Source organism: Homo sapiens, chromosome 20, assembly GCF_000001405.40.
Source record: "Homo sapiens chromosome 20, GRCh38.p14 Primary Assembly".
Classification (NCBI taxonomy): Eukaryota; Metazoa; Chordata; class Mammalia; order Primates; family Hominidae; genus Homo; species Homo sapiens.
In genome coordinates this window covers 9,272,123-9,297,066 of record NC_000020.11, presented here as the reverse complement: position 1 = coordinate 9,297,066, position 24,944 = coordinate 9,272,123, and the positions used below count along the sequence as shown (strand labels likewise).

Sequence of the window (24,944 nt, the reverse complement as noted above, 5' to 3'; positions counted from 1 at the left end):
TTTGACATATTATAAATATGCTCCAGAGTAAAAGTCATCTTGTTTCTTTTTTGTTATTATTATACTTTAAGTTTTAGGGTACATGTGCACAACGTGCAGGTTAGTTACATATGTATACATGTGCCATGTTGGTGTGCTGCACCCATCAACTTGTCATTTAACATTAGGTATATCTCCTAATGCTATCCCTTCCCCCTCCCCCAACCCCACAACAGGCCCCTGTGTGTGATGTTCCCCTTCCTGTGTCCATGTGTTCTCATTGTTCAATTCCCACCTATAAGTGAGAACATGCGGTGTTTGGTTTTTTGTCCTTGCAATAGTTTGTTGAAAATGATGGTTTCCAGCTTCATCCATGTCCCTACAAAGGACATGAACTCATCCTTTTTTATGGCTGCATAGTATTCCATGGTGTATATGTGCCACATTTTCTTAATCCAGTCTATCATTGTTGGACATTTGGGTTGGTTCCAAGTCTTTGCTATTGTGAATAGTGCCACAATAAACATACGTGTGCATGTGTCTTTATAGCAGCATGATTTATAATCCTTTGGGTATATACCCAGTAATGGGATTGCTGTGTCAAATGGTATTTCTAGTTCTAGATCCCTGAGGAATCGCCACACTGACTTCCACAATGGTTGAACTAGTTTACAGTCCCACAACAGTGTAAAAGTGTTCCTATTTCTCCACATCCTCTCCAGCACCTGTTGTTTCCTGACTTTTTAATGGTCGCCATTCTAACTGGTGTGAGATGGTATCTCAATTGTGGTTTTGATTTGCATTTCTCTGATGGCCAGGGATGATGAGCATTTTTTCATGTGTTTTTTGGCTGCATAAATGTCGTCTTTTGAGAAGTGTCTGTTCACATCCTTCGCCCACTTTTTGATGGGGCTGTTTGTTTTTTTCTTATAGATTTGTTTGAGTTCGTTGTAGATTCTGGATATTAGCTCTTTGTCAGATGAGCAGATTGCAAAAATTTTCTCCCATTCTGTAGGTTGCCTGTTCACTTTGATGCTAGTTTCTTTTGCTGTGCAGAAGCTCTTTAGTTTAATTAGATCCCATTTGTCAATTTTGGCTTTTGTTGCCATTGCTTTTGGTGTTTTAGACATGAAGTCCTTGCCCATGCCTATGTCCTGAATGGTACTGCCTAGGTTTTCTTCTACAGTTTTTATGGTTTTAGGTCTAAGCCAAAAGAACAAAGCTGGAGGCATCACGCTACCTGAGTTCAAACTGTACTACAAGGCTACAGTAACCAAAACAGCATGGTACTGGTACCAAAACAGAGATGTAGACCAACAGAACAGAACAGAGCCCTCAGAAATAATGCCGCATATCTACAACCATCTGATCCTTGACAAACCTGACAAAAACAAGAAATGGGGAAAGGATTCCCTATTTAATAAATGGTGCTGGGAAAACTGGCTAGCCATATGTAGAAAGCTGAAACTGGATCCCTTCCTTACACCTTATACAAAAGTCATCTTGTTTCTTATCTTTTATGCCTCTGAAATAAAGTATTTCTGTTCTTACTAAGGGCAGCAAAGAGCAGAGGGTATTTTATTACTACTGAGAATTTAACATAAACAGAGTTATCATCAGCCCTAAAGAATATAAAAGTTCTGAGAAATAAGAGGATTAGAGCACCCTGGGATATTTGTAAATGAAAGACTGTATAGTAGCAGTTTTTTCCCTCTCTCAAAAGTAGAACTTGTCACTGTTTTCAAGTACAGAACTAACAGAATACATGGTGGATGTCTATACTTTACCGCGCAGGAAAGCAACAACTTCTCCCTTAGTAGGAGGTGCTAGCCATATGCAACAATTTTCAGGGAGAGTTCAGCCCTTTTTGATCTAACAGTAGTAGTTCTGAGAAGGTCTTGGAACATAGAAAACAAAAGGGAAACATGCACAAATTAAGTATAGTTTTAGGTAGAGGTCACAGATTCCATACTGGTCTCTCCTGGATCTTTCAAGGGGTTCTTAACCCAGGGCTTCCTGGTCACAGAGGACCCTAGTCTTTAAAAAGTCCTGGGGTTCCAGAGTGGGGACTATGAGAATGGAGGCTTAGGTTGACCTCTTCCTCAGCTTAAGTTTCTTCTTTGCAGGAATACTCTTTGAGTTATTTCTTTTTAGCCAAGATGGGAACTCAAGCTGGGAGCATAGGGGAAAGACTAGAGAATCTTTAGGTCCCTGGATTTGCCTTAGATTATTGGTTCTTAAAGTATGGTACCCCGACAGCAGACATCACCTGGGACTTCTTAGAAATGCAAAATCTCAACCCCCATCCAGACCTAAATCAGAAAGTCTGCTGGTGGGGTCCAGGAATCCACGGTGTATCCAGCTAGCCAGGTGATTGCAATGTAAGCTAAGGTTTGAGAAAACAGCCTTAGATCAAGTCTCCAGCAAAAAGGAAAAAAGGGGGAAGAGGAAAATGGTCTTTAAATCCTTATCCAGCCCAGCCCAATTTACCAGGAAAAGAAGCTGGCTAGGTATTCGGAACTAAAGCTTGGGTAAGAAAGACAGTCCATTTGTCTAGAATGCACGCTTTTCTCAGGAAGTCCATGGACAACCAAGCCTATGGAGACTCTGAAGGCCAGTACTTGCTTTCCATCCAAGACCAAGAGTAGATACTGAGAGCCTGAAGTAAATGGTAATTTTCTCAACCATTTTTTTTCAAGCTTCATCCTTAAGAGTTAAGTAAGAAGAAACCAGTTAAGAATGACAGGCAACTTGAAGAAAGTAAATAAAGGGTGACTGAGTCATAACCAAACCCTCAGCCAACACAACATCCCTTTAATCTGCAGTGCAGACTTCACAGTCACTTAAATAACTTCAAGCAGTTACCTCTTTTGGCCCAAACCTTTATGCTCCCTGTTAACTACAAGCTATGAATGCTAATATTTCTCCTAAGAACTCAGGAAAAAATATTGGGTAAGAGTCAACCAGCAAATTCCTTTAAATTTAAGGAACTGCAATTGACAAATGAGCTGAGGAGAAAGATTATGTTAAAACACAAGGATTCTAGAAGAAACGTGCCCTCAGCTGCACTGGAAAGCAGCATCTTCCCTCACCACCTTTCCTTTTACATTCTCCTCTCTGTATTTATCAGAATTGATTCCTTGCCCCCCGGTACTGAGCATTTTGCACATTTCTCTTTTCTTCTCATTCACTAACTTACTGGTTATTTACTTACTGGTTATTTACTCCCCTAAACTTACTGGTTATTATTTAAAGAAACTGGGCCAGGCACCACTCTGTATTTTCATTTAAGCACCTTGTGCTTCCCCCTTTGAAGAACTCACCACCCTACCTGGTAAACAGCTATTTGTTTATCTGTATCATCACTACATGATGACCTCTGTGAAGGCTGGGGCCTTGCTTGCTACTATAGTGTCCAGCATATAGCAGTAAACAATGAATGAATGAATGAATGAATGAATGAATATTTTACTCTGTGGAGGAGCTCCCAACCAACCCCCAAAACAAATCAAGGCAGAAAGGACAATGGACTCTTCTCTTACACAAACACACACTTAATCCTTCCTTCTTTCTTTCCTTCCTTCCTTCCTTCCTTCCTCTCGTCCTCTTTCTCTCTTTCTGACAGAGTCTCTCTCTGTCACCCAGGCTGGAGTGCAGTGACTTCTTCCCTTCCCTTCCCTTCCCTTTCCTTTCCTTCCCTTTCCTTCCCTTTCCTTCCTTCCTTCCTTCATTCCTCTCTTCCTCTCTTTCTGACAGTCTGTCTCTGTCACCCAGGCTGGAGCGCAGTGACTTCTTTCTTTCCCTTCCTTCCCTTCCCTTTCCTTCCCTTTCCTTCCCTTTCTTTCTTCCCTTCCTTCCTTCCTTCCATCCTTCCTTCCTTCATTCTTCTTTCCCTTTCCCCTTTCCTTTCCTTTCCATTCCATTCCATTCCATTCTTTCCTTACTTCTGTCTGTGTCTCTGTCTCTGTCTCTCTCTGGGTGTCTCTCTCTCTTTTTCTTTCTTTCTTTCTTTCTTGAATCTCACTCTGTCACCCAGGGTGGAGTGCAGTGGCACGATCTGGCCTCACTGCAACCTCTGCTTCCTGGGTTCAAGCGATTCTCCTGCCTCAGCCTCCTGAGCTGCTGGGATTACACGTGTGTACCACCACACTCGGATAATTTTTGAGTTTTTAGTAGAGACAGGGTTTCGCCATGTTGGCCAGGCTAGTCTCAAACTCCTGACCTCAGGTGATCCACCTGCCTTTGCCTTCCAAAGTGCTGAGATTACAGGTGTGAGCCACTGTGCCCAGCCCAAATGCACACTTTAGTACCATTTCTGTGTATACCTGCTCCTCTCTCCAGTATCCTGAAATGCTGTTCACAGTGTTTTGTTCTCCACTCATACCCTGCTGCCTGCCTGCTGCAGGCTAAAACCAGGCCTGTAGAATGAGTTTCCATTCTTTACCAAGTTTGACAGCCTCGATTGTGCCTATGAATAATTTCTAGAATAAACATTCCAACCACACCACCTCTATGGCCTGAACCTCTGTTCTCCTTAGACCCTCTCTGATCACTGTCCCTTAGTAAGGGCTGTTCAGATTGGCACCTAGGTCCTCACTGGTGGGGCTTGATCCTGGACATGTCCTCATGAGGTGCGTGATGTTCTTATCCCTAGAGACTGTCTCTTTAGAGGAGACCTCTGGGCAGCCCATAAGGTCCTCCTGTCTCTTATGCCCAGCCCTCTGTACTTTGCCCTTCATTTGCCCTTGGACTGCCTGCCACAATTATCAGGCAAAACATCGCCAACATGAATCATATATGTCAAGAGGGAAATCTCTTTTTAGAAGCCTGATTTTGCCTTATTATTGGACTATTTCAAAGGAAAGATTTTTATTTTATCTTCACTTGAATAAGCTCTCTGAAGGTTGCCTCCGGCGTGAGTATGGAGTAAGCCTGAGGATTGTAAAATGAGACTTCACAAAAATGGGCAAAGTGCTTTGGAAAGGAGCAGGCATAAATTCAAGGACTGGAGGCATTCTTTATTTTAAAACTATTTTCTCATTAAAATAAACATACACACACAACGAGCTCTTCAATTTAATCAAAATTCCTTGTATTTAAAAATTCTCCAAGCTACTTTTATAAATAGATCTTTGCTATTATTATACAGGAGTCATAAGAAGAGGATAAAGCCTAAGACCATGCATATTAGAACTGAGCTCAGACCATAGAAGGAGAAAATAAAACATTCTTCCTCAAGTTTTCAAGCTTAAGGATATCCGAAATCAACAGTCTTCATATGTTCATCCACACAGGGGTACTGCCCCATGATCTGAAAGTAACCTTTAGTCAAAAAAATGTCACCTACATAAATCTCAAATCTCACACAAGGTCATTTATCTCCTTATGCGCCCAAAATTGTTCCACCTGAAGTCCAAAAGCTTAAAGTAAGTACAGAGATGGAACTAATAAAATAGAGATAGTGAGAAAAAAATCACATGGAATTCGAGGTTTGGGGAGGTTGATTTAATTTTTTTATACATGCACATTATTTTCAAAATCTCTAAACCTTTCTTCCTCTTTGTCTTTTTTATGCACAAAAATACATCCAGTCTGAAAGGAAAAGGAAATAAAATCCTTAATCTCAGTTAACTTATATTAAAAGTGTCACCTTTTCAGGCCCCTCCTCCTCAGGTTTGGCATTACTAATTAACTATTACTTAAAATAATGGGAAATTTACTGTGCAAATTGGTTTATGTAAGTGAGGCTGCACATTAAAACTAGGTGTAAATATTAGATGCTGTCTTTGGCTTTTTCTGATAGACCAGCAGGGAGAGTGGAATTGAGTCTATTTCATTCACATCAGAAATACCAGCAATAACATTCACACAACTTGAAATAAATCTAATGTGACATTGGAAAAGTGAATCAGAAAAATACAAAGTTTATAGTTTTATAAGTAAATTAACCATTTTTAAAAATGAGTCTGCCTTTGATTATATATTACACTATTTCCACAATTAATATTAAATTAATATGAGCTATATAGCATGCTGGAATGGAAAGAGAAGGGCAATCGGAGATGGAAGACCTACATTCCAGCCCCAGCTCTGTCCCAACTAGGTGTGTGACCTTGAGGAAGCCCCTTAACCCTCTGAGTCTTAGTATCCTTGTCTGTAAAATACAGATCCTGAAACTGTAATTTATCTGATGTTTTCTTAGCTTATATTAGTTTTATCTCTGTGATGCCTTCTTAGTTTACATTAATAAACATTTGATTAAACATTATTTGAGCTCCTATGAAATATAAATGTTATTTAATAACCATATATATCCTTCCTGAAATACATTTCCAAAAATGAAAAAATGAAAGCCACATTCAGATGGGCCAAGCAAGATTTAAAACAATGCATTACTATTGTGTCTTGAAGAGTAACTGACAGAGTAATGACATAGTGGCATTTCTAGAACAACTCTTCAGTATCAAAGCACACTTTCAAGATGCCAAATCCTTGTCCAATTCTTGTAAGGTCAACAGTCTTCAAATAATTGTCCCTTTCATAAGATGGGTGCTTTTATTGCATTATTTTAAAACATGTTTGCTTCCATTGCTTATATAGAAACTGAAAAACATCCCTCACTCTAACAAGGCCCAGAGGCAATAGAAAGGATATCAAAGGTCAGAGAGTTGGATGTGAAGCGATTCCAAAGAGTTCACATGGTGTTTCATTTTAGCAAATTTCTTTAACTTCTAATTCAAACCATATCCGCAGGCTGGGGAAAAAGAGAGAGAAAATGGAGCTTCTTTAACTAAGTTCCCTGCCCCTTGTTAGACAAATCCTTGGTTTTCCCAAGTGTCGGTACTAATGAACAGTTACAAAAATTGCTTTGGTCCTTGTGTCTGCAATCAATTAGTTTTTTTTTTTTGGTTTTTTTTTTCTGAAAGGATAAAGTTTGATCCAGCATATTCTAAAATGCTACAAGACTGCCAGCAAGTTTCAAAGACACATCAGAGAGAACTCAACGGCCTGACCTGGAGACCAGGAGGATGACATTCTCATTAGGCAAGAGATGCTGGACCTTCTGCAGTAATGAGAAATGAAAGTCACCACTCTGCTCTAAAAGCAGGGGCTATTTACCCCTGACCTGACACACTTCTCAAAGCTCTCACAATAAAGGCACCCAGCATCCACTTACTGTTTCACCATTTACCAAGTATTTTTACATACTCTTTTGAAGTTATATACTCTCTTGAAGTTAGAAATCTTAACACAACTGGAAAAATGTGGAAAGTAAAGCTCAGAAAGCTTAGAATCCCTCAAATATGGTAGAACTATTAATAGAACTTAACAAACCTTTTGACCGAACACCCTCATTGTCTGACCTTGGTTCTCATGACGAAAGTTCCTTAATTTCAAGTAAAAAAACACTCTAAAGATATGGCCTCCAACCAAAATGAGGGAAACTCATCCTTTCCTGGGACTGTATTTAAGCTGCTTTAATAAGAGGTAGTTTAATAAAAAATAAGGATTGCTTCAATAAAGGAGATGTCCACATTACTATCAGTTTCCAATTTTCCACTTTGAAATGACCTGAGGACAGAGATCCTGGTAACCTCAGCATCAACATCAGTAAATATTTTATATTATCCAAAAAAAACCCGAATAATTTCAAGTTTCTTTTATTTTTTTATTCCCTTATAAAATCATTATTCACTTTAAATAGATCACTGTGTCTTTAAATCCTGGCTTTGTTTGTAGAGTGTTCCAAATATGATAGAGAAAACTTAGTTTTATAAAAACATCACAATCTAGCCACTTAGGCCATGACATTAATTGGTCTACAATGCTATTTGGGGAATATTTATAGGGAGTATTTTAATAAAATCAATGTTGCTGCCTATATTTAATACTGGTGAAATCACAAGTGTGATTAAGCCATTGTATATATATTTTTATTTCTATTCTGCCATATTTGAAACCAACCCCCAAGGTAAGACAGGAAAAGAGATAAGATTCAAGTATGACAATTGCATGGATAATAAGTTAAATTGAGTTTTGGGGATAAAATATCTACTGTCACTAAATTAATTATTGTGCCCTGAAGTTGTACAGAGAAGAAGACTTATAATTAAGGTATATTTTGGCCATCTATGTTATACCTTCCCATGGCCAATTTTTGTGAAAAAAGGAAAAAAGACTTTGCTGGATACCCTCATTTCCTAACTGTCAACTCACTGTAAATGTCTTAAAATATGGAATCTAGCATATATGTTCTGTTCAAAATATGCCTTTTTGAGTAGCTGAAACTTTTGGTCTTTAAGCTCAATGTTCTTATGTTGATCCTGATCTTTCTTAACCTTTCCAGAATGTAACTCCTACCTTCAGCCTGATCCTCTTTCCACATGTGGCCATCCCTCCACCTCCTCTGTCCTTTATCCTTTTTGGCTCTCAGTATTCTCCCTCCCAGGGCAATCCTATGGTATCACTCTTCTCCTCACCCTTCCAAAACTCCACTCCCTCGTTTTCAGCAGCCTCCTAAGACATCTCCACCAGTGCTCCCTCCAGTATTCCAGATGTCCAAATATGTCCTGAGATGGGCTCACTGCTACAAAAGGACTGCTTTGAAGAATAAGACAAATTATCAAGATTGATGTAAAAGTGAGCAATGCAAAGATCGTAGAAGTTAAAAAAAAAAAAAAGCAACTACAGGACAAAGGAAAAAGGCCTTTTTATGTGAAAAACATCTGAACTTTTGGTGAACTCCAACCTTAATAAGCTAATGGTGAAGAGGTACTTGTTGAAACCTTAACGCAGTCTTAGGGAGGTCACTGATAAAGGGCTATAATAAAATTAGTGAACTTTCAGATCCTAACATTGCTTACAGTATTTTGTACATTTCTGTGCCACAATTTTAAGAACCATATCAACAAAATACAAGAATGTTGAAGAATATGAAAGTTATAACATTTAAGCAACAGTCGATAAAAGATAATCCTAGGGATTTCAGACTTAATCTGAGCTCTTCCTGTAATAGAGTGGGAACATAGGCCAAGAAACCTCAGGTGAGCTTGGCAAGGTGCCACAATCCTGCTGGTGGAGCTGCAATAGAACCACATCCTTGAACTGCCAGTCCAAAACCCAATCTCACTGGTGCAAAAGGAAAACATGCCTTTGAAAAATTCTGTCTGTTCTCTAGTTTAAAAATATGGAAATTACTGTTGTTTGCCTTAAGGAAAAGAAAAACATAAGAGATCTGAAGAAATGAGATATAAGATTAAGCCATGAAATGCAGATAAATCATGCATATTCTCTTTCAAGAAAGTTCCCATCTCTTCTGCAGTTTATAGAACAAAGTAATTTTATTAAGGTTTTATGGAAAGGTCACTATTGCATTTCTGTAATATTAAAATCTATCTTAGCATACAGAAATCCCTCATGAGCCTGAAATATTAGTTCAAGACTAAGTTTATTAAGGTTTTGGCATGACTCGATATTAACTTTCTCAAAATATTACAACCATTTTCAAATCAGATAAGCAGTGGGATATAAAACTGTGGCTCATAAAAATAAAATCAAGAAAATGGAATCATTGCTTATTAGTTCTTAGAGATTAACTCTATACTTTAAAATTGTGAGGGAGCTTATCAAAACAGTTCATTCTGTATTGATACCTTCATTTCACAAAAGAATCAGACAGAAACATGGTTAAGGTCTTTGTAGCACATATCAAAGTAAACTGATATTTTAAGAGAAATTCAGTTCAAGTGCCAGTAATAACTTTAGTTATCTTCATAATCCCTTCTGTTTCCTAATACTTTCATCCATGAGTTGAGTGATGATTAAACAGAGAAATGCCTGGTATGTCAGTACTTGAGGCAGCTGAGTCTGATACCTGAAGTTTTCTAACTCATATATTCCAGAAAAGGTATAAAGTTTATCTGACAGAATCAGATAGCAGACACCTGTTATTTGGCAATGTATGAATTTATTGTCATGATTTTTTTTAAAATAAAATGTACATTGTTAACAAACATGCTGAAAAATTATGATGCTCCCTGGTGAGGAAAAAACAAACAAACAAAAAAACACTACCTGAAATTCACAGAGCACCCACTATCTCAAAACATCACTCATAAATATGGTATTCTTTGACTCACAGACTAGAGACCTGGCAAGAGATTGAAGAAGTTGTTTGGCTCACAGCCAGGTGTCCAGGAAGGTGACCATGGAAGCCTTTCTGGTTATTTGACCATACAGATCCTAGGGGATGGAAAGTCTATACAAAGATACTGATGGCGCTTCAAAATTCCCCTACCAGATCTCAGGACTCTTTCGTTCATTAGTTCTCTGTAGACTTCAGCAGTTGATTAGAATCCTCTATCCATGAGGTCATGACTCAGAATGACCTCACTGGCGTGGTCTTAAAATAACTGTGAATCCCACTGTATGTTGTGGTTATATTTGAACCTAGATGTAGTACCTCAAGATACATTCTTAGTTCTCTGCAGAGTACTATGTCACATTCTTAAGCTTAAGTGATTGGCCACACAACTGGCATTTTCTCTCTTGGCCTCATGGAATAAAACACTGGTCCTGAACTATTCTTGACAATGGGACAAAAGGCTTTAGGCCTGAAGAAATAGATGTAAACATTGAAGTAAAACCAGAAGCCAGAGAACCTTCCCTAATTATTACCTTCCAAACCTAAATCTGTCTCTTCCACTATACCCATAACCACCTCCTCATATGATAAACACATACTTCTTCAGCAAAACTTTTACAAAGAAGTATGAAGGTTTATGGGTGGAGATATATCCCAAATGTGTTCATTATATTTTAGCCTATTTGATTATTGATAAACTACCTAATTGTAGGCATCTATGTCCAAGAATTTAAAAGTAGATGGAAAAACCCCTAAAACTCCTAAACTCCAGGCTAATTTCAAATACCCACCAACACACATACTTACACAAGATAACTCACATTTTCATGAGACACATGGATTCCTTTTAATGGTAAAGTGCACTCCATGTGAAAAGAACCAATTTTAAGACCTGCTTCAACCAATTACTGTGAAGCTGAAAGAGAATCCCACAAACTATATTTCAAGGAGTTTCCCCATCTGAAAACAGACATGCCTATAATGTCACTTTGCAGGAGGCTCCCAAGATAGAAAAGATGATGTCTACGCATTTATGGCATTGTTCTATTTCACAATAGACATGGACACTATTTTCACTGCTGTACAGCATTCTAACCCCTGCAAGCGAATGCTGGCCTTGACCCTGGTCTGGCTGTTCACTTGCTACCTGGAGCCATATTTACTCTGGTCTTGTTTACCAGACAGTAGAATGCTCCATCAAGCTTTTCTAGGATCTAAAACAACTTTTTTGCTTATTTTGTTTATGGCCCCAAAGCATGCAATTGTTGATCATGTTATTTGCAAAGTTTTCTCCAGGAGAACTCTTTACTGGGTCACACAGAGTAGCAAATATCCTCTGTAATGTTTATTTACTTTCCTGAGAAAGAAGAACCTCAGAAAGCAGGTCTATATTGCAGTAATAAATAGGCTTGTACCCAAGCATATCAATTTATCATAAAAGAGGGCCAAGATTTCCTATGAATTCTACTATGAGGAGAACTATACTATGCTAAAAAGAACTTAGTAAGTCAGGCTTTATTTAGTAAATCAGCCTTTATTTACTAAAGGCCACAGAAAGTAAAAATGATAATTTAATTTTTTCTTTGACTAAACAATGCACACCACAGCCCAGTATTAGTCACATGAAACCAATAAGTTGGCTCTAATCAAATTATCTTGAAAATAAACAAATGTGTTCATAACAAGGCTGGTTTGCCCTGGTTAAAATAATGCCATTATAAACTGACTATAATTACATTTTTAAAATGCTAAAAATTTCTAAATTGTTTACATTTATTATAATATGTTACTTTTGTAACAAATTTAAAAAAAAAAAACATTCCTAGCACACTTACACAGAAAGTTCCTTGTTTTTTGATGGTTTTCTTTGCAGAAAATGAGTTTGTAAAAATAACATATCTTCATGCAGGATGTTTTATCATGCTGAAAGTGAATGTTCTCCCCTCCCCTGGGCATCCTCTCATTTATAGTCCTGTGACATCAAGGCCATTGCAATTTAAATAACTGCTTTTTCATTTATAACATATAATGAGTTGGGTTTTGTTGAAACAACTTAAGCAGAGCTCTAGACCTGGTTTAAAAACTAATCTTTTTGAGAACCTAAATTATAATAAAGCACTACATAAATATGGGACATGTTTTTTTAAACGATTATATCTGGTAAAATGGCAAGAATTACCAGCAAACACTATATAGTCTATTTATCTCTGATCTATTTATCTATTTCCTGTGGAAGAAGGTATTTCTATACATGTCATAGATACTGATGATTAGCAAACACAGAGCCAATCTTGGAAGTAGATTTTTCACAGGGGGGACCAAGGTGAGAAATCCACTTAATGTTGGAGGACAGGGACGAAAAAGATCATACATTTCCCTCTCCCCCAACTCTTTCTTCAAACCCATGTAATTCTCCATACCTTTGGTTCTTTACCCTTTCTTCATAAGGCTCCTCATCTCCCTTGGGATACAAGCCAATCTATACAACACGCTGTAAGACCTTACATAATCTAGCCTTATATCTCTCTCCATTCATCTCCTATTCCTTTCCCATGCTCACTTGACTCTAACCACATGGACTTCCTCCTGTACCTCATAGAGGCCACTTGCAATTCTGCCTCAGGGCCTTTGCATTTACCATTACCTCAGTTTAGACCATTCTTCCCTAAATATCGGCATGGCTCACTGCCTGCAGATCATAGTATAAATGTCACCATATCTAAGATGCTTTTCCTGGCCACTCAGAACAAAATGGCATCTCACCACCACCAGGATCTCTCTTTCTTGTTACCTCCTAGATTTTTCTACGTAACACACATCAACAACTTCATCTCTGATCCTTTATATATCTTGTTTGTGTTTTCCTCTACCAGAGTAGTGACTACATATATTTTGTTTTCTGCTGTGTCTCTGTCACACAAATATATGGGCCACGTAGTGGGTGCTCAATATAGACCTGTATAGAATGAATGAATGTGTCCCTCTTCTGACTTTTCTCAATGAAGGAATTAACAGAGGAATCCATACATGACAGTGGCCTTAAGTGTTGGTGACTCAGGGATAGAAAACAATTAAATGGAACATTAAAAAATATAATAGAAAGGGAATAAAGTAGGGCATTAGGGTTAAATATAGCCTCCTCCTTCTTTATCAAGGGATGATTTATTATTTCACTGTGTCCCTGCTAGACTAGATACTACACAGAATTCAATAGTGGATAAGACACAGACTCTATCCTAACAAACTCAAATCCAGCAGAGTAGGTAGACTATTCAACATAAGCAAAATAATATTTTACAGGAATTTAGAACCAGGAGAGATAACCCCTGCCCAGGAGAGAAAAGGGTAGAAAGGCCTCCTGGAGAAAGCTTCTGAGCTAGGCCATAAAGGATAAGAATTCTTATGTGAAATGCAACATGTAATGTTCGAGACTATAAATGATCAGCAGCAAGACAGCATCTTGCTTCTGAAACTTTAAAGTACTTCATAAAACCGTCCCCCAAACCCCACCTATTAGAAGATCAGCCTTCAGACACCTAAGAGTTGAAGGTGGAAATTCATGGTGTCTTTGAATATGGCTAACTCTGAAAGGCCTCAATGGATTTTGTCAAGGGAAAATAAGTGAAATAGAACTTTGTCATGTGAGACAAATGTAATACATAGAGGGCTTTATTTATTTGTCATCCTCCTTTGCATGCAGCCTCAGCTGGGGGCAGGGGTAGAAGGAGGAGCATGTATATGACTAGTTCAGGCCAATGGTTTCTGCCTGAAGATAAAGTGTGTCCCTTCTGGGGGGATATATTTACCACTCCTTCTCCAGGCATGGTAGACCATTTCCATGACCAGAAAGTCTTCCCCTCCCTTGATCACACTCCTTTGTAATATGACTACACAGCTTCTCCCATCAAGATATGAAGACTTTCGTTCCACATGGATACTGAAAATGGGTTTTAGACATGTGACTTGCTTTGAAACAAATCAGAGGCATGAAAAGTACTTGTACATTGGGGTTTCCTTCTTGTTCTCTTTGAAACCCTGAGATTATCATGTTTAAAAGGTTAAGACAATCTACTGGAAGATGAGAGGCCACATAGAAGTCTCAGTCAATCCAGTCCTCCTGGCTGAGGCCCCAAATAAAGTGAGTGAGGCCATCCTAGGTTATCCAACCTGAGCCAAGCCAGCCATGGCCAGAAAAACCACTCAACAAATACAGAGAACTGTGAGAAATAAAACATGATTTAAAAAATTCTGCAAAATTTGAGGGTGGTTTGTTACACAACAAAAGCTAACCTATATACCTGCTAAAATAGGCTGAATCGGATGACAGATCTCTGTGAGGCTCTAGTGAGTAAGTGGGCACTGTGATTGTGTTATATAAATGATATTATTGAAGAGTATTAAGGAGATACAGGGAAGAAGAGAGGAAATCCAAAATAAAAAGGCAGGGAGAGGAAGCAATTAGAAACTTGCAAAGCAGTCCAGGGTGTGAGTATGGGGGTATAATAAAATTAAAGCAAACCATCTGTGACTCTGAAGTACATAAAACTGTAACATCACTTTTCTGGATGACATGAATTATTGTGAACACAAATACGTCAACCTTATTGTGAGCAACCTGACAGAGAAATGTTTATATCCTATTTTTCTCTGAATCTCTCCTACCTACTTTTCTAAAGCCTATACCTAGAAGACAGACTGGTACTATCACAGATGATTAGAGAATCTTTGATGAAGAAGTGAATAACTGAATGAGGAAAGGAATGCCTTGGTCATCATGCCCTGTGATAACAAAGTTGTGTGTCTACATTTTGTTCTATATCTCTTTTGATGCCGGGCTTTGCTTTCTCCCAAACTGTTCCTGTTTATAGCTCCTACTGTCTTCAGAGGAAGGAACAAGGGAAAGATTATGTGATATATAAGAATCAGTAGGCTCTGAGTGAGGGCAGCTGGATTTTATAATAGCATTTTATAGCAGGATCTGTATACTAGCCATGTACAACATTTGGCTGTATTTTTCACTTCTGGATGTTTTACTTTTTGTTTAACTTGGATGGCTGATATTATTAGTAAGTTGATATCTAGATAAATAAAGTAGTCATGGAATATTTATTGAAATTTTAGAGTGTGTTTAATTCTTCAATGCCAATTTTTTTTCAATTAAACTAAATAAGAAGGAAAGGTATCAGCCATCTAACCACAGACAATTTTCCAGGGTACCTAAAATATAACGTATTCCCAATTTAATTTTGCAAAATCATTCAGCTCCACATTTCAAACTAAATACAAACTATCATTTTAAATATAAAACCTACATGTTTTAGCAGTTTTAGGTAATAAAATGTTATATGATAAACCTAAGATTAAAACATTTTAGCATAGAATTGTGTTATACCTATTTTGCTTTACAGTTCAGTTGAATTACTTTGAAACTCTGATTTGGAGTGTTTTCATTCCATCATTTTAACCTAATATACCATGACTTATTTTAAATATTTTAATATGCCTAGCCTACAGACCTGGCTCATTGTAAGAAAAATATTGTTCCAAAATTTTATTTTACATGCATAATATCACTTGCTAATTAACAGATTATTAATAGCAACATTTTAAAGTGATTAAACTACTTCTAATACTGCATTCTAAAATGTTCTTTCACATTGAATCTGTATAGAGACTTTATGTGATGGTCCTATTATTGTGTCTGTTTTGCAGATAGGGAAATTAAGCCCTCAAGCAATTAAATCACTTTCCAAAGTCACAAAGATACTAAATGGTGAAGCCAATATTTGAATAAGGTAGCCTCATCCCAGGGTTAGTATACTTAACTGTTAAGAAATTCTGCTCTCTCTCAAAAATTTAATAGAACGATTCTTTGAAAAAGTGAAGTTCCTAAGAAAGTTTGAAGCATGATTTAATATGGGAAACTAATTTCAGAGAAACTTTCAAAACAGTATTTATTACATAAATGTGGTATACCTCTTTTTTTTTTTTTTTGTAGCAGATGTTTCTTTGCCCTAAGCTAAGAGTCTCCTTCCTGTCTCCTTCCTTTGCTGAACTATAATACAAATATGCCTCCAGGCACTGTTATTATGAACACATGTTCGGCATACAGAACCACATTTCTGATACACTACTTTCTGCTGGGATTTATGCTGGATTTAATAGCTGGATTTACTTCAGCATGCTCAGTAAGGACCGTATCTCCCTCCAATTCAGTATTTCCTCACCGAGTGAAATTTCACAAAGAAAAGACGCGACCAAAGACAAGAAGAGCTGATGCAAAGCAGGCTAGGTTCATAGTACAAAATCAATAAGTCACAAACATAGGTGTTTGGCAACACTAAAAATCCAAGCAAGGCAGGCATCAGTTTTCTTGCCATTTTTCTTCCTAAGGAGAATGCTTTCCTGTTTGCTAACTTCAACTAATGGGATGAGAAACCCAGTGAAATTAGGACAGAGACACCCACCTCCTTTTTTTCCCTTCCCTTCTCCCCTGCCATTCCATCTTTCAGATCGAAGTGGAGAACACAATATCTTTGTCCTTTGATAGGTCTTCCTGCCTTCTCTTCCCAACTTGGAAATCCAATGTGAAGAGCCAGTGTTTTGAAACTTTACCCACAATCAAAATTCCGCAGGAAATGGGAGGAGTACCAAAGGGCTTAGAAATTCAATGGATCTCCTTTCCAGAGGCCAGAAGGTCAGTGGCCCACTCAGATTAAACTTCTCAGGGGATATGACCTAAGCACCTTATTAATCTCTATTCCTAGAAACCCCACAGCCCCTCTTCTAGTCAGAAGGCAGCTTTTTATGCAACAGTCTTTTGGCTTCTAGCAACTGAACAAGTCAGTCCCCATCTTGGCTTATTACAAGTGCCTTGGCTTTACCATTTGTGAAATACAAAAAGGGTTGGCTGGCCAACAGCTAGTCTGTTCATAGCAATGGAAAACATGAAACACCCTAAACTCCAGCAATAGGGTGGGGTAAAGTCAACTATGACAAAGCCAAACGGCTAAACAGTATAAGGCCATTAAATGTGACGATTCCAAAGAGATTTTCATAACGTGGGTAGGTGCTGGTAGTATTATTTTAAATGAAAAGGCAGAATGCAATACATTATTTCAACTACTCAAAAAGAGGCACAGAAACAAAATGCAAAAGACTTGAAGGAAAATACTCAAACGTTAGCCAGTGGTTTCACTGGAGTGAAGGTCAGCATTTTTTTCCTTTTTCAACTTTTATGTACGGTCTAATTTTTAAAATATCTTACTTGGATTTAAAAAATAATCTTCAAGGAAGATTAAAATGATGATGAACTCTTTGGAAGTAAGTCAATTATTGATACCTATAAAATATCTTTCATATCTCAAATTTGAGCTGAATTTCCTGCTAGTCACTCTTCTATTTTCCCTATTGTTCTCTCTGGCTAAAATGAATCTTCTATTCCTACCTATCTCCCCATCTTCCAATCCTGTCTGTCCTTTGATGTCTGGCTCAAATGTCATTTCCCCCCCTTCACGTTTTCTCTAATTCTCTCTTCCTTTAAATCCCAAGTACTTTATACATACCTCTCCAAGGCAATGAACATTTCTATCTAGCACTCTAATTATTTCAAGCTCATGTCCAAGTCTGAAAGAAGTTTCAGCTGCATGAGAAACTGAATTCAACTTTTACACTCTGCATAATACCTTGCACATAGGAAGCATTCAATGAACTCACAGATAAAGGAATACACAAAAGGAATACATTGGCAAGCAAACTGTTTAATTTTAGGTTTAACTTTGTAATCTGTCCTTAGAAATGTTCCTATTCTTTAACCAAATAACATACTCCAAATTTTTCCCACAGTTTCATAAAGTTATTAGCATCTTGCTTAATTGAGGCCATCCAACATACAACGTATCTGTCTTACCTAGATGTAACCATCCAAGAAAGGAAATACAGTAAAGCTTGTATTTAAACAAACAAACAAACAAAAACTCAGTGGGGAACTCCATGAGGGCAGGACCTGTGAATCTTTCATTTTTGTGTTCTCCTGGCACATGGTAACTTCTCAATGCGTACTTATTAAACAAGTGAAGAGAAATGAATGAATAAATGAACAGGCCTTGTGTGAGTGAGACAACCTGCCCTAGTCATGGCCTGTATGGACCACGTCCATTCTATGTGTCGGCTGCCATCATGTACTCACAGTGATTGCTACTTTCGAGGACCCTGGAAGTCCAGCGCTCATATCTGCTCGTTGTGAGATCCAATGCAGCTCCCTCAAACTGTAAACTGAAGGTTATGATATCTATGTGAAGAGTCCTTTTTAGGGTAATATCAGATGAAACCCATGCATAGGGCCCAGCATCTAGTAAAGCATGCCATGAGTTGTCATGAGAGAGCTCGCTGGAGTAACCATGGATAAATTAATAAGCAAACATTTTTGTTCAAACCTTTTTCTAAAATTTAATTTTGGAACTTTGTAAAGATATTTTCTGTGCTTCTCTTGAGTAGAAGTACCTGAAAATGTAGATTAACACAGTTCCTGGATGTCCCATCTAAGCAATGTACACTCTTATATGCAGTGCTGTTCTTATAAATCAAATCTGGTCTGGAAACCTTGCCAATAGAACATCAATACTAACTCTTTTCCAACTGGACTGTCGTGAAATACACTAGCATAAAAATGGCAAACCCTTTCCTGATTTACAGAGCATTTCAATTTGTAGTAGAAGGTTACTGACATGTATTAAAGTCTTGCAGTTCACAAGCCACCTCTTCCCTATCCACCAAGTATTGATAAGCACACAGCTGTAACTGGGAGAGTCCGTGCAACTGGAATTCTGTTTGCTCTGAACTTAAGCAAGCTTCTGTTCTCTGTGTTCATATCTCTAAGAAAGCAACATGAAAACATTCACTCTGGGTGGCTTGTGAGATTTAATTGAATACAAATAGCATAAAGTTACCTTCTAAGGCAATGTTGTTGTGGCTGCACTTGGTCTTATACTAAAACCGAGGTACTGTTCCTAATTTGTTTATTCTAAGGGAAATCACAGACACAGGGCAAAATGATCAAGTGAACAAAACTTGCAAAAAACAGTTTCATTTTATTGTTTCAAAACAGGAGTGCCTGGTCTGTGTGCCCCTTGAGCTGTGGGCTTCAGGCTGAATTCCTCCTAGATAGGAAAGCTGTCTATGGCCTTCTGTCACAGTACTTGGGTACCCTCGGTCATTATGTCCCTTCTCTCCTCCCTTCCAGTGACTGAGCTCTAAAGCAAATTATCATCATGAGACTCACAAGGATACTGGTCTCACCAGAAGGAAGACCCTCCCTGACACTTATCAACTATTAAGACTCTAACCAGCAGTTACCGTTTTGTAACTGTGGTGCAAGGTTAACAGCTAATAAACTGGTAATTAGACTACTGCAGGAAATCTGGCATTGGAGGTCAGATGGCTTGATACTGTGCATCTTTAATCTGGCTTTGCCCTACCCATATACCCAAGCAGGAAAGCTGCATGAGCTGAGGCTCTAAGAACTCAGTAATCTTATGTTCTCAGGGAAAGAAACAAAGCTGTTCTTTTTAGAAAATCAAATCATCATCCACAAATCAAAACAGCAAAGTTCGCTTTTCCTCTGTTTTGTTCAGGCCTGTTTGGCTTATCTATGGAAACAGCTCATGCTTTTCAAAAAATGGGCTGAGCGGTCTTTCAATATTATGTTGCTAAGTAGTCCTTTCTAGGTTAAACATGTTTACTCTTCAAAAAGGCTGAAATTTTACTCCAGTGGTTATACCCTGTAGCTAACATGCAGTGAATCCACTTCTCCCACACGGAAGGAAGATGACAGTCACATAGCGGCAGTAGGTGGAGAAGCTGGCTTCCAGGAACCTGGTCCAGGGCTTCCCAGACTTTACTGTGCATCCAGATTACCTGGGGGCCCCATTAAAATGACCAGTCTGATTCAGCAGTTATGGGGTAGGGACAAAAATTGCACATTTCTATTTCTTTTTCTTTTTCTTTTAGAGACAAGATCTTGCTCTGTCACCCAGGCTGGAGTGCAGGATTACAATCATCACTCACTGCAGCCTGAAACTGGGTTCAAGCGATCCTCCCACCTCAGCCTCCCAAGTATGAAACTGCAGGTTTCTAAGTAGCTCCCTGGTGATCTCAGTGCTGCTGGTCCATGGGCCATATTTTGAGTAGAACAGAATAGCTGGGATTTGAATCTTCATTTCTGGAATTGCTTCTTATCAAAGGACTAGACTGTGGCTGTGAGCTAGAGGCAGAAATGACATGTGTGGTATGATGGGAAGAAAGAGCAGGGACTAGGAATGGCACAGAACAAGCCATGTGACCTTGGACAAATCCCTGGATCTCAATTCACTGCTTTGCAAATGAAATAAATAACCCCCTCTCACAAAGCCTGAAAGAATAAAACATATAAAAATGTACCCAGAGGCTTGATTCTAATAGCGGCTTATGACCTACTATTTCCTGAAAACTCAGTAAAATCCAGGTATTCCTCCCCGTCTGAGACTCACATCTGGCTCCTCTTCTCAGGCCCCCACACCTGAGTCCTGGCCCATGAAATGTGATTGGAAGTAGCTGTATCGCATCTGGGCATGGCCCATAAAATATCCTCCCAGGAACATCCCTTCCTCTTGGTGATTTCGTCCTTCTAGCTACATTGACTCCAGGGTGAATTTGGCAGCTACGTGCTAAAAATGACAGAGCTCTCATCAGCCTGGATTCCTGAATAAACGAAAACATGTGGCAGTTGCATCAACCCCTTCACCTGCCCAGTATTGTTATATGAGCAAAGATAAATATTTTCAAGCCATTACATGTTTGTGGTCCTCTTTGTTACAGCAGCTAGCCTACCTAGGTGACACATTTGCCATCCGTTTCCTTTCCTCCTCACCTTCCCACTCCCTACTGTGCTCTCCCCTGAAACAGCTCCACATGCATCCTAAACTGCAGTGTATGGTTAAAAGTATAAGCTCTGAAATCAGAACAGCTAGGTCCAAATTCACCTCCAACCTTTCCTTGTACAGCACTGGACAAGTATGGTCAATAAGTTTCCTATCCTTACTTTTGTCATCTGTGGAAAAAGAAGGATTGTATCATTGCACATCTTTTGAGAAGGTCATGAGATAATGCATGTAATGGAGTTGGCACGTCACTTGGACAAAATAAGCACTCCAAAAACAAGCAGCTATCAACAGCTCCCTGGTGATCTCAATGCTGCTGGTCCATGGGCCATATTTTCAGTAGAACAGAATTAGTTGGGATTTGAATCTTCATTTCTGGAATTGCTCCCTATCAAAAAATTAGACTGTGGCCGTGAGCTAGAGGCAGGAATGACATGTGTGGTATGAAAGTAAGAAAGAGCAGGGCCTAGGAATGGCACAGAACAAGGCTGGAGTTCTGGCTCTACCATTTAACAGCCACATGACCTTGTGCAATAATAGCGTCCCATTTGATAATATGCCACTTGTTTCCTCCCCACCAGGTAATGCTGTTTCATAAATGATATGGTTTGGCTGTGTCCCCACCCAAATCTCAACTTGAATTGTATTTCCCAGAATTCCCACATGTTGTGGGAGGGACCCAGTGGGAGGTAACTGAATCATGGGAGTCAGTCTTTCCCATGCTATTCTTGTGATACTGAATAAGTCTTGCGAGATCTGATGGGTTTATCAGGGGTTTATGCTTTTGCTTCCTCATTCTCTCTTGCTGCTTCCATGTAAGAAGTGCCTTGTGCCCTCCGCCATGATTGTGAGACCTCCCCATCCATGTGGAACTGTAAGTCAAATTAAACCTCCTTTTCTTCCCAGACTCGGGTATGTTTTTATCAGCAGCATGAAAACGGGCTAATACAATAAGAAATATCATAAATCATTGTTCATATGGTGGTTGAAACAGTATTTCCTTCTATATGGTAAAATTCTAAAGAGTCTCTATTACATTCAAAGAGTTCTGAATTGGAAAGATTTTTTCAAGTATCTTAAGCATGGTTATATTTTTCTTACACTTGAATGACAATTACAAAATGAAAAGGGACAAAGAGGAAAGGGGCCAAATAATTAGTATAGATTTTAAACATTTTAAACAAGGTAGGAATTTTACTACTTGAAAACCTGTACTGTACAGAAAAAGCAAGACTGTCATATAATAAGGGATACTTGTATCTTTATCTGCTCTCTAGAACCATAGAGAAAACCTATCAGCAGATGGAAATTCTCAAGAGAAACACAGTTTCTGATGCTCAGAAACAAAGAGTAGAGGCAAAGCACAAGGCATGGTTTTCGTAGGACAGAAGATATTTTCCTCTTTAACCCTATGTGGGATATTTAAGAATAGAATTTGCCATTATAAAAATGCATTGTCCAAGGCTGATGGAAATAACTTTGCTGTTCCCAAACATGTGTTTACATGTGCAAATAAAATAGGGTCAGAATCTGATAATTTGGGGGGTAAAAGTCAGATTCAGTCTTAATATCTAAGGAGTATGGTGCCCATTAAGATACTGAAGACAAGCATAATTTCTCTCATCCTGCATTGCCCTCTCTTTTTTACGGCAACTTAAAGGGATTGGTATTGCAATTTTTAAGAGATGACATACAAGAAAGTTTACTGAAAGTATTCGCCACCACAAGTAGTGTAAACTCAAGAAACTATAGCATTAGAAAGGAAAGTCAAATGGACCAGGAGTCCATAAAAAATCAGGTACATCTGTTTCTTTAACATTTAATGTGCCTTTTCCTTTCTAAAGAAAAATGAACTGTAAGAACAATGAAAAACTGGCCTGGAGCAAGAACTGTGGAATTCAATTTTTTTTTCTTTGAAATACTCTAAATGTGACTCTTCTGTCTAATTCTTCTCTCCTATCCAGCCAATCAGTTACGAAGTCCTGCTGGATTCTACTCCCTGGATCTCTCTGGCATCTGCCCCGTCTTCCCCTGACTCTAGTTTTGTATTAATCCGTCCTTTCCTGGGCTGCTGCAAAGCTTCCTAGTTAATATCCTGCCAGCAGTCTTCCTCCTGTTCTTTCTTTCATTGTCTACACAGAAGCCCAACTAACTTTTCTAAAAATGTAAGTTTTATCATGTTACCTGATTAAAGCCCTTCAGTGGCTCACAACAATACACAAGATAAAAACCCACATTTAGTAATAACATGGCTTAACAAAGACATACATACTCTGGCTCGAGCATCTGTATCATCTGCTCCAAACAGACACACACACACACACACACACACACACACACACACACACACACTGCAACCATAATAACCAGTCTGTATTATCATCCGAACAGAACATAACTCAACACCTTCCTCTTCCTCCTCCTTCACCTGGCAAATACCTACCCATCATCCATGACTTAGCACAGATGTCACTGACTCTGGGACCCTTCTCTAACCCACAGCTTTGGGTGAGGGGCTCATTTGGGATCCCCTGCTTCTTCCATCTGACCAGTACATACAAGTATGGGCTCTGGAGTCAGACTGCAAAAATTCAAATAGCAGGCATGCCTTTTATAACTGTGTGATCTTCAGCAAGTACTTAACCTCTCCGTATTTCAGTTTCCTCATTTGTAAAATGGGAATAATCACAGTGCTTACTTCAAGAGCGTTGTTTTGAGAATTAAAGGCGTTAATATTGAAATGACTTAGAAGAAGTTCTGACGTTTCATTGTTGCTCGATACATACTAGGCAAGAGTAATGATAAAAGTGGTAGTGACATCATTCTATTCTCACATTGTAAGTCTTTTACCCTTGATTGTACGCTTTGCAAAAGCAGGTCTATGATTATCCTTCCTGCATGCTACTTGACCTACGTCAAACATTCAACTCATTGTTTATTTTCTAATAAGTATATACTGAGGATTAAAACCAATAATGCCCCCATTCCTGAAGGGAATCCAGCCTCCTCTGAATTACATGGATATATTTTCTCCTGTGTAACTTTAAAGTATTTTCCAAAAACAAAATATAGAAAGTACCTTCTATATATCCAACACTGCTAGGTACCAAGGTAGGTAAAATGAAATGAAAAAAAAAAAAAAAATCCCTGTAACCAGAAGCTCACAAGGTAAGTCAAGTTCACTAGTAACAGTGAACAAACTGGGAGAGCCTTTTCATGACACCAAAGAACAAACTGACCTTGTCTGATATCACCCAAGAACATCTTTTCATTTTAAGGGTATGCTCACCAAGAAATTTGTCACACGTCCCCACCCTGGGGAGCAGAAAAGCTCAAAAACAATTTGATTAATGGCCCCAAGGGGAGAGCTCTGGTAGCTTACTTGCTTTGCACAAAAGAACTGAGTAAATATATGACTTGCCAACATAAAATATACTTAGAAAGTGCTAAAGCAATATTGTCCAGGCTTGCATGTAATTCAGGGTGGAGGAGGAATGAGGGGAGGAGAGGAGATAGGGGTTGAGACCCAGACCCTCAATAGTCTAGGTTGGAGACCTGCAGCTATGGTATTAACTATGACAGCATGTAAAGTGTCAGTAATGCCCCATTTTAGACTTCTGATTGCCAGTCAGCATCCTCATTAACGTAACATATTTTATGACTACTAAAGCACATGTAATGTTTTAGGTACAAGGCCCTGATCTGATTTAATTTCTTCAAATTATTTTCAAGTGATACAGCGAACCTCATTGCAACAGCAACAAAGTTCTGTATTAAGAAATTGTTATACCTTCTTAGCCATGGTACCTTGATATTTTCTTTCTCTCTTTTTTTTTTTGAGGGGGGTGCGTGGGCAGGGTTTTATTCTGTTGCCCAGGCTGGAGTACAATGGCATGTTCATAGTT

The 24,944-nt window shown here is 38.6% G+C and overlaps 1 protein-coding gene across 14 annotated transcripts in view; it reads right to left on the bottom strand.

Moving 5' to 3' along the window:
- Positions 1–24,944, bottom strand: part of PLCB4 (phospholipase C beta 4) — a 412,131-nt gene that overhangs the window by 183,742 nt on the left and 203,445 nt on the right. For 2 of the 14 annotated variants that reach the window (XM_047440201.1, XM_047440202.1), the window contains exon 1: positions 16,591–16,609. The exons of the other annotated variants lie outside the window; for them this stretch is intronic. The gene's annotated coding sequence lies outside the window, so the exon portion shown is untranslated. Of the gene's footprint in view, positions 1–16,590; positions 16,610–24,944 lie in introns of those variants that run through there. 14 annotated transcript variants of the gene reach the window in all.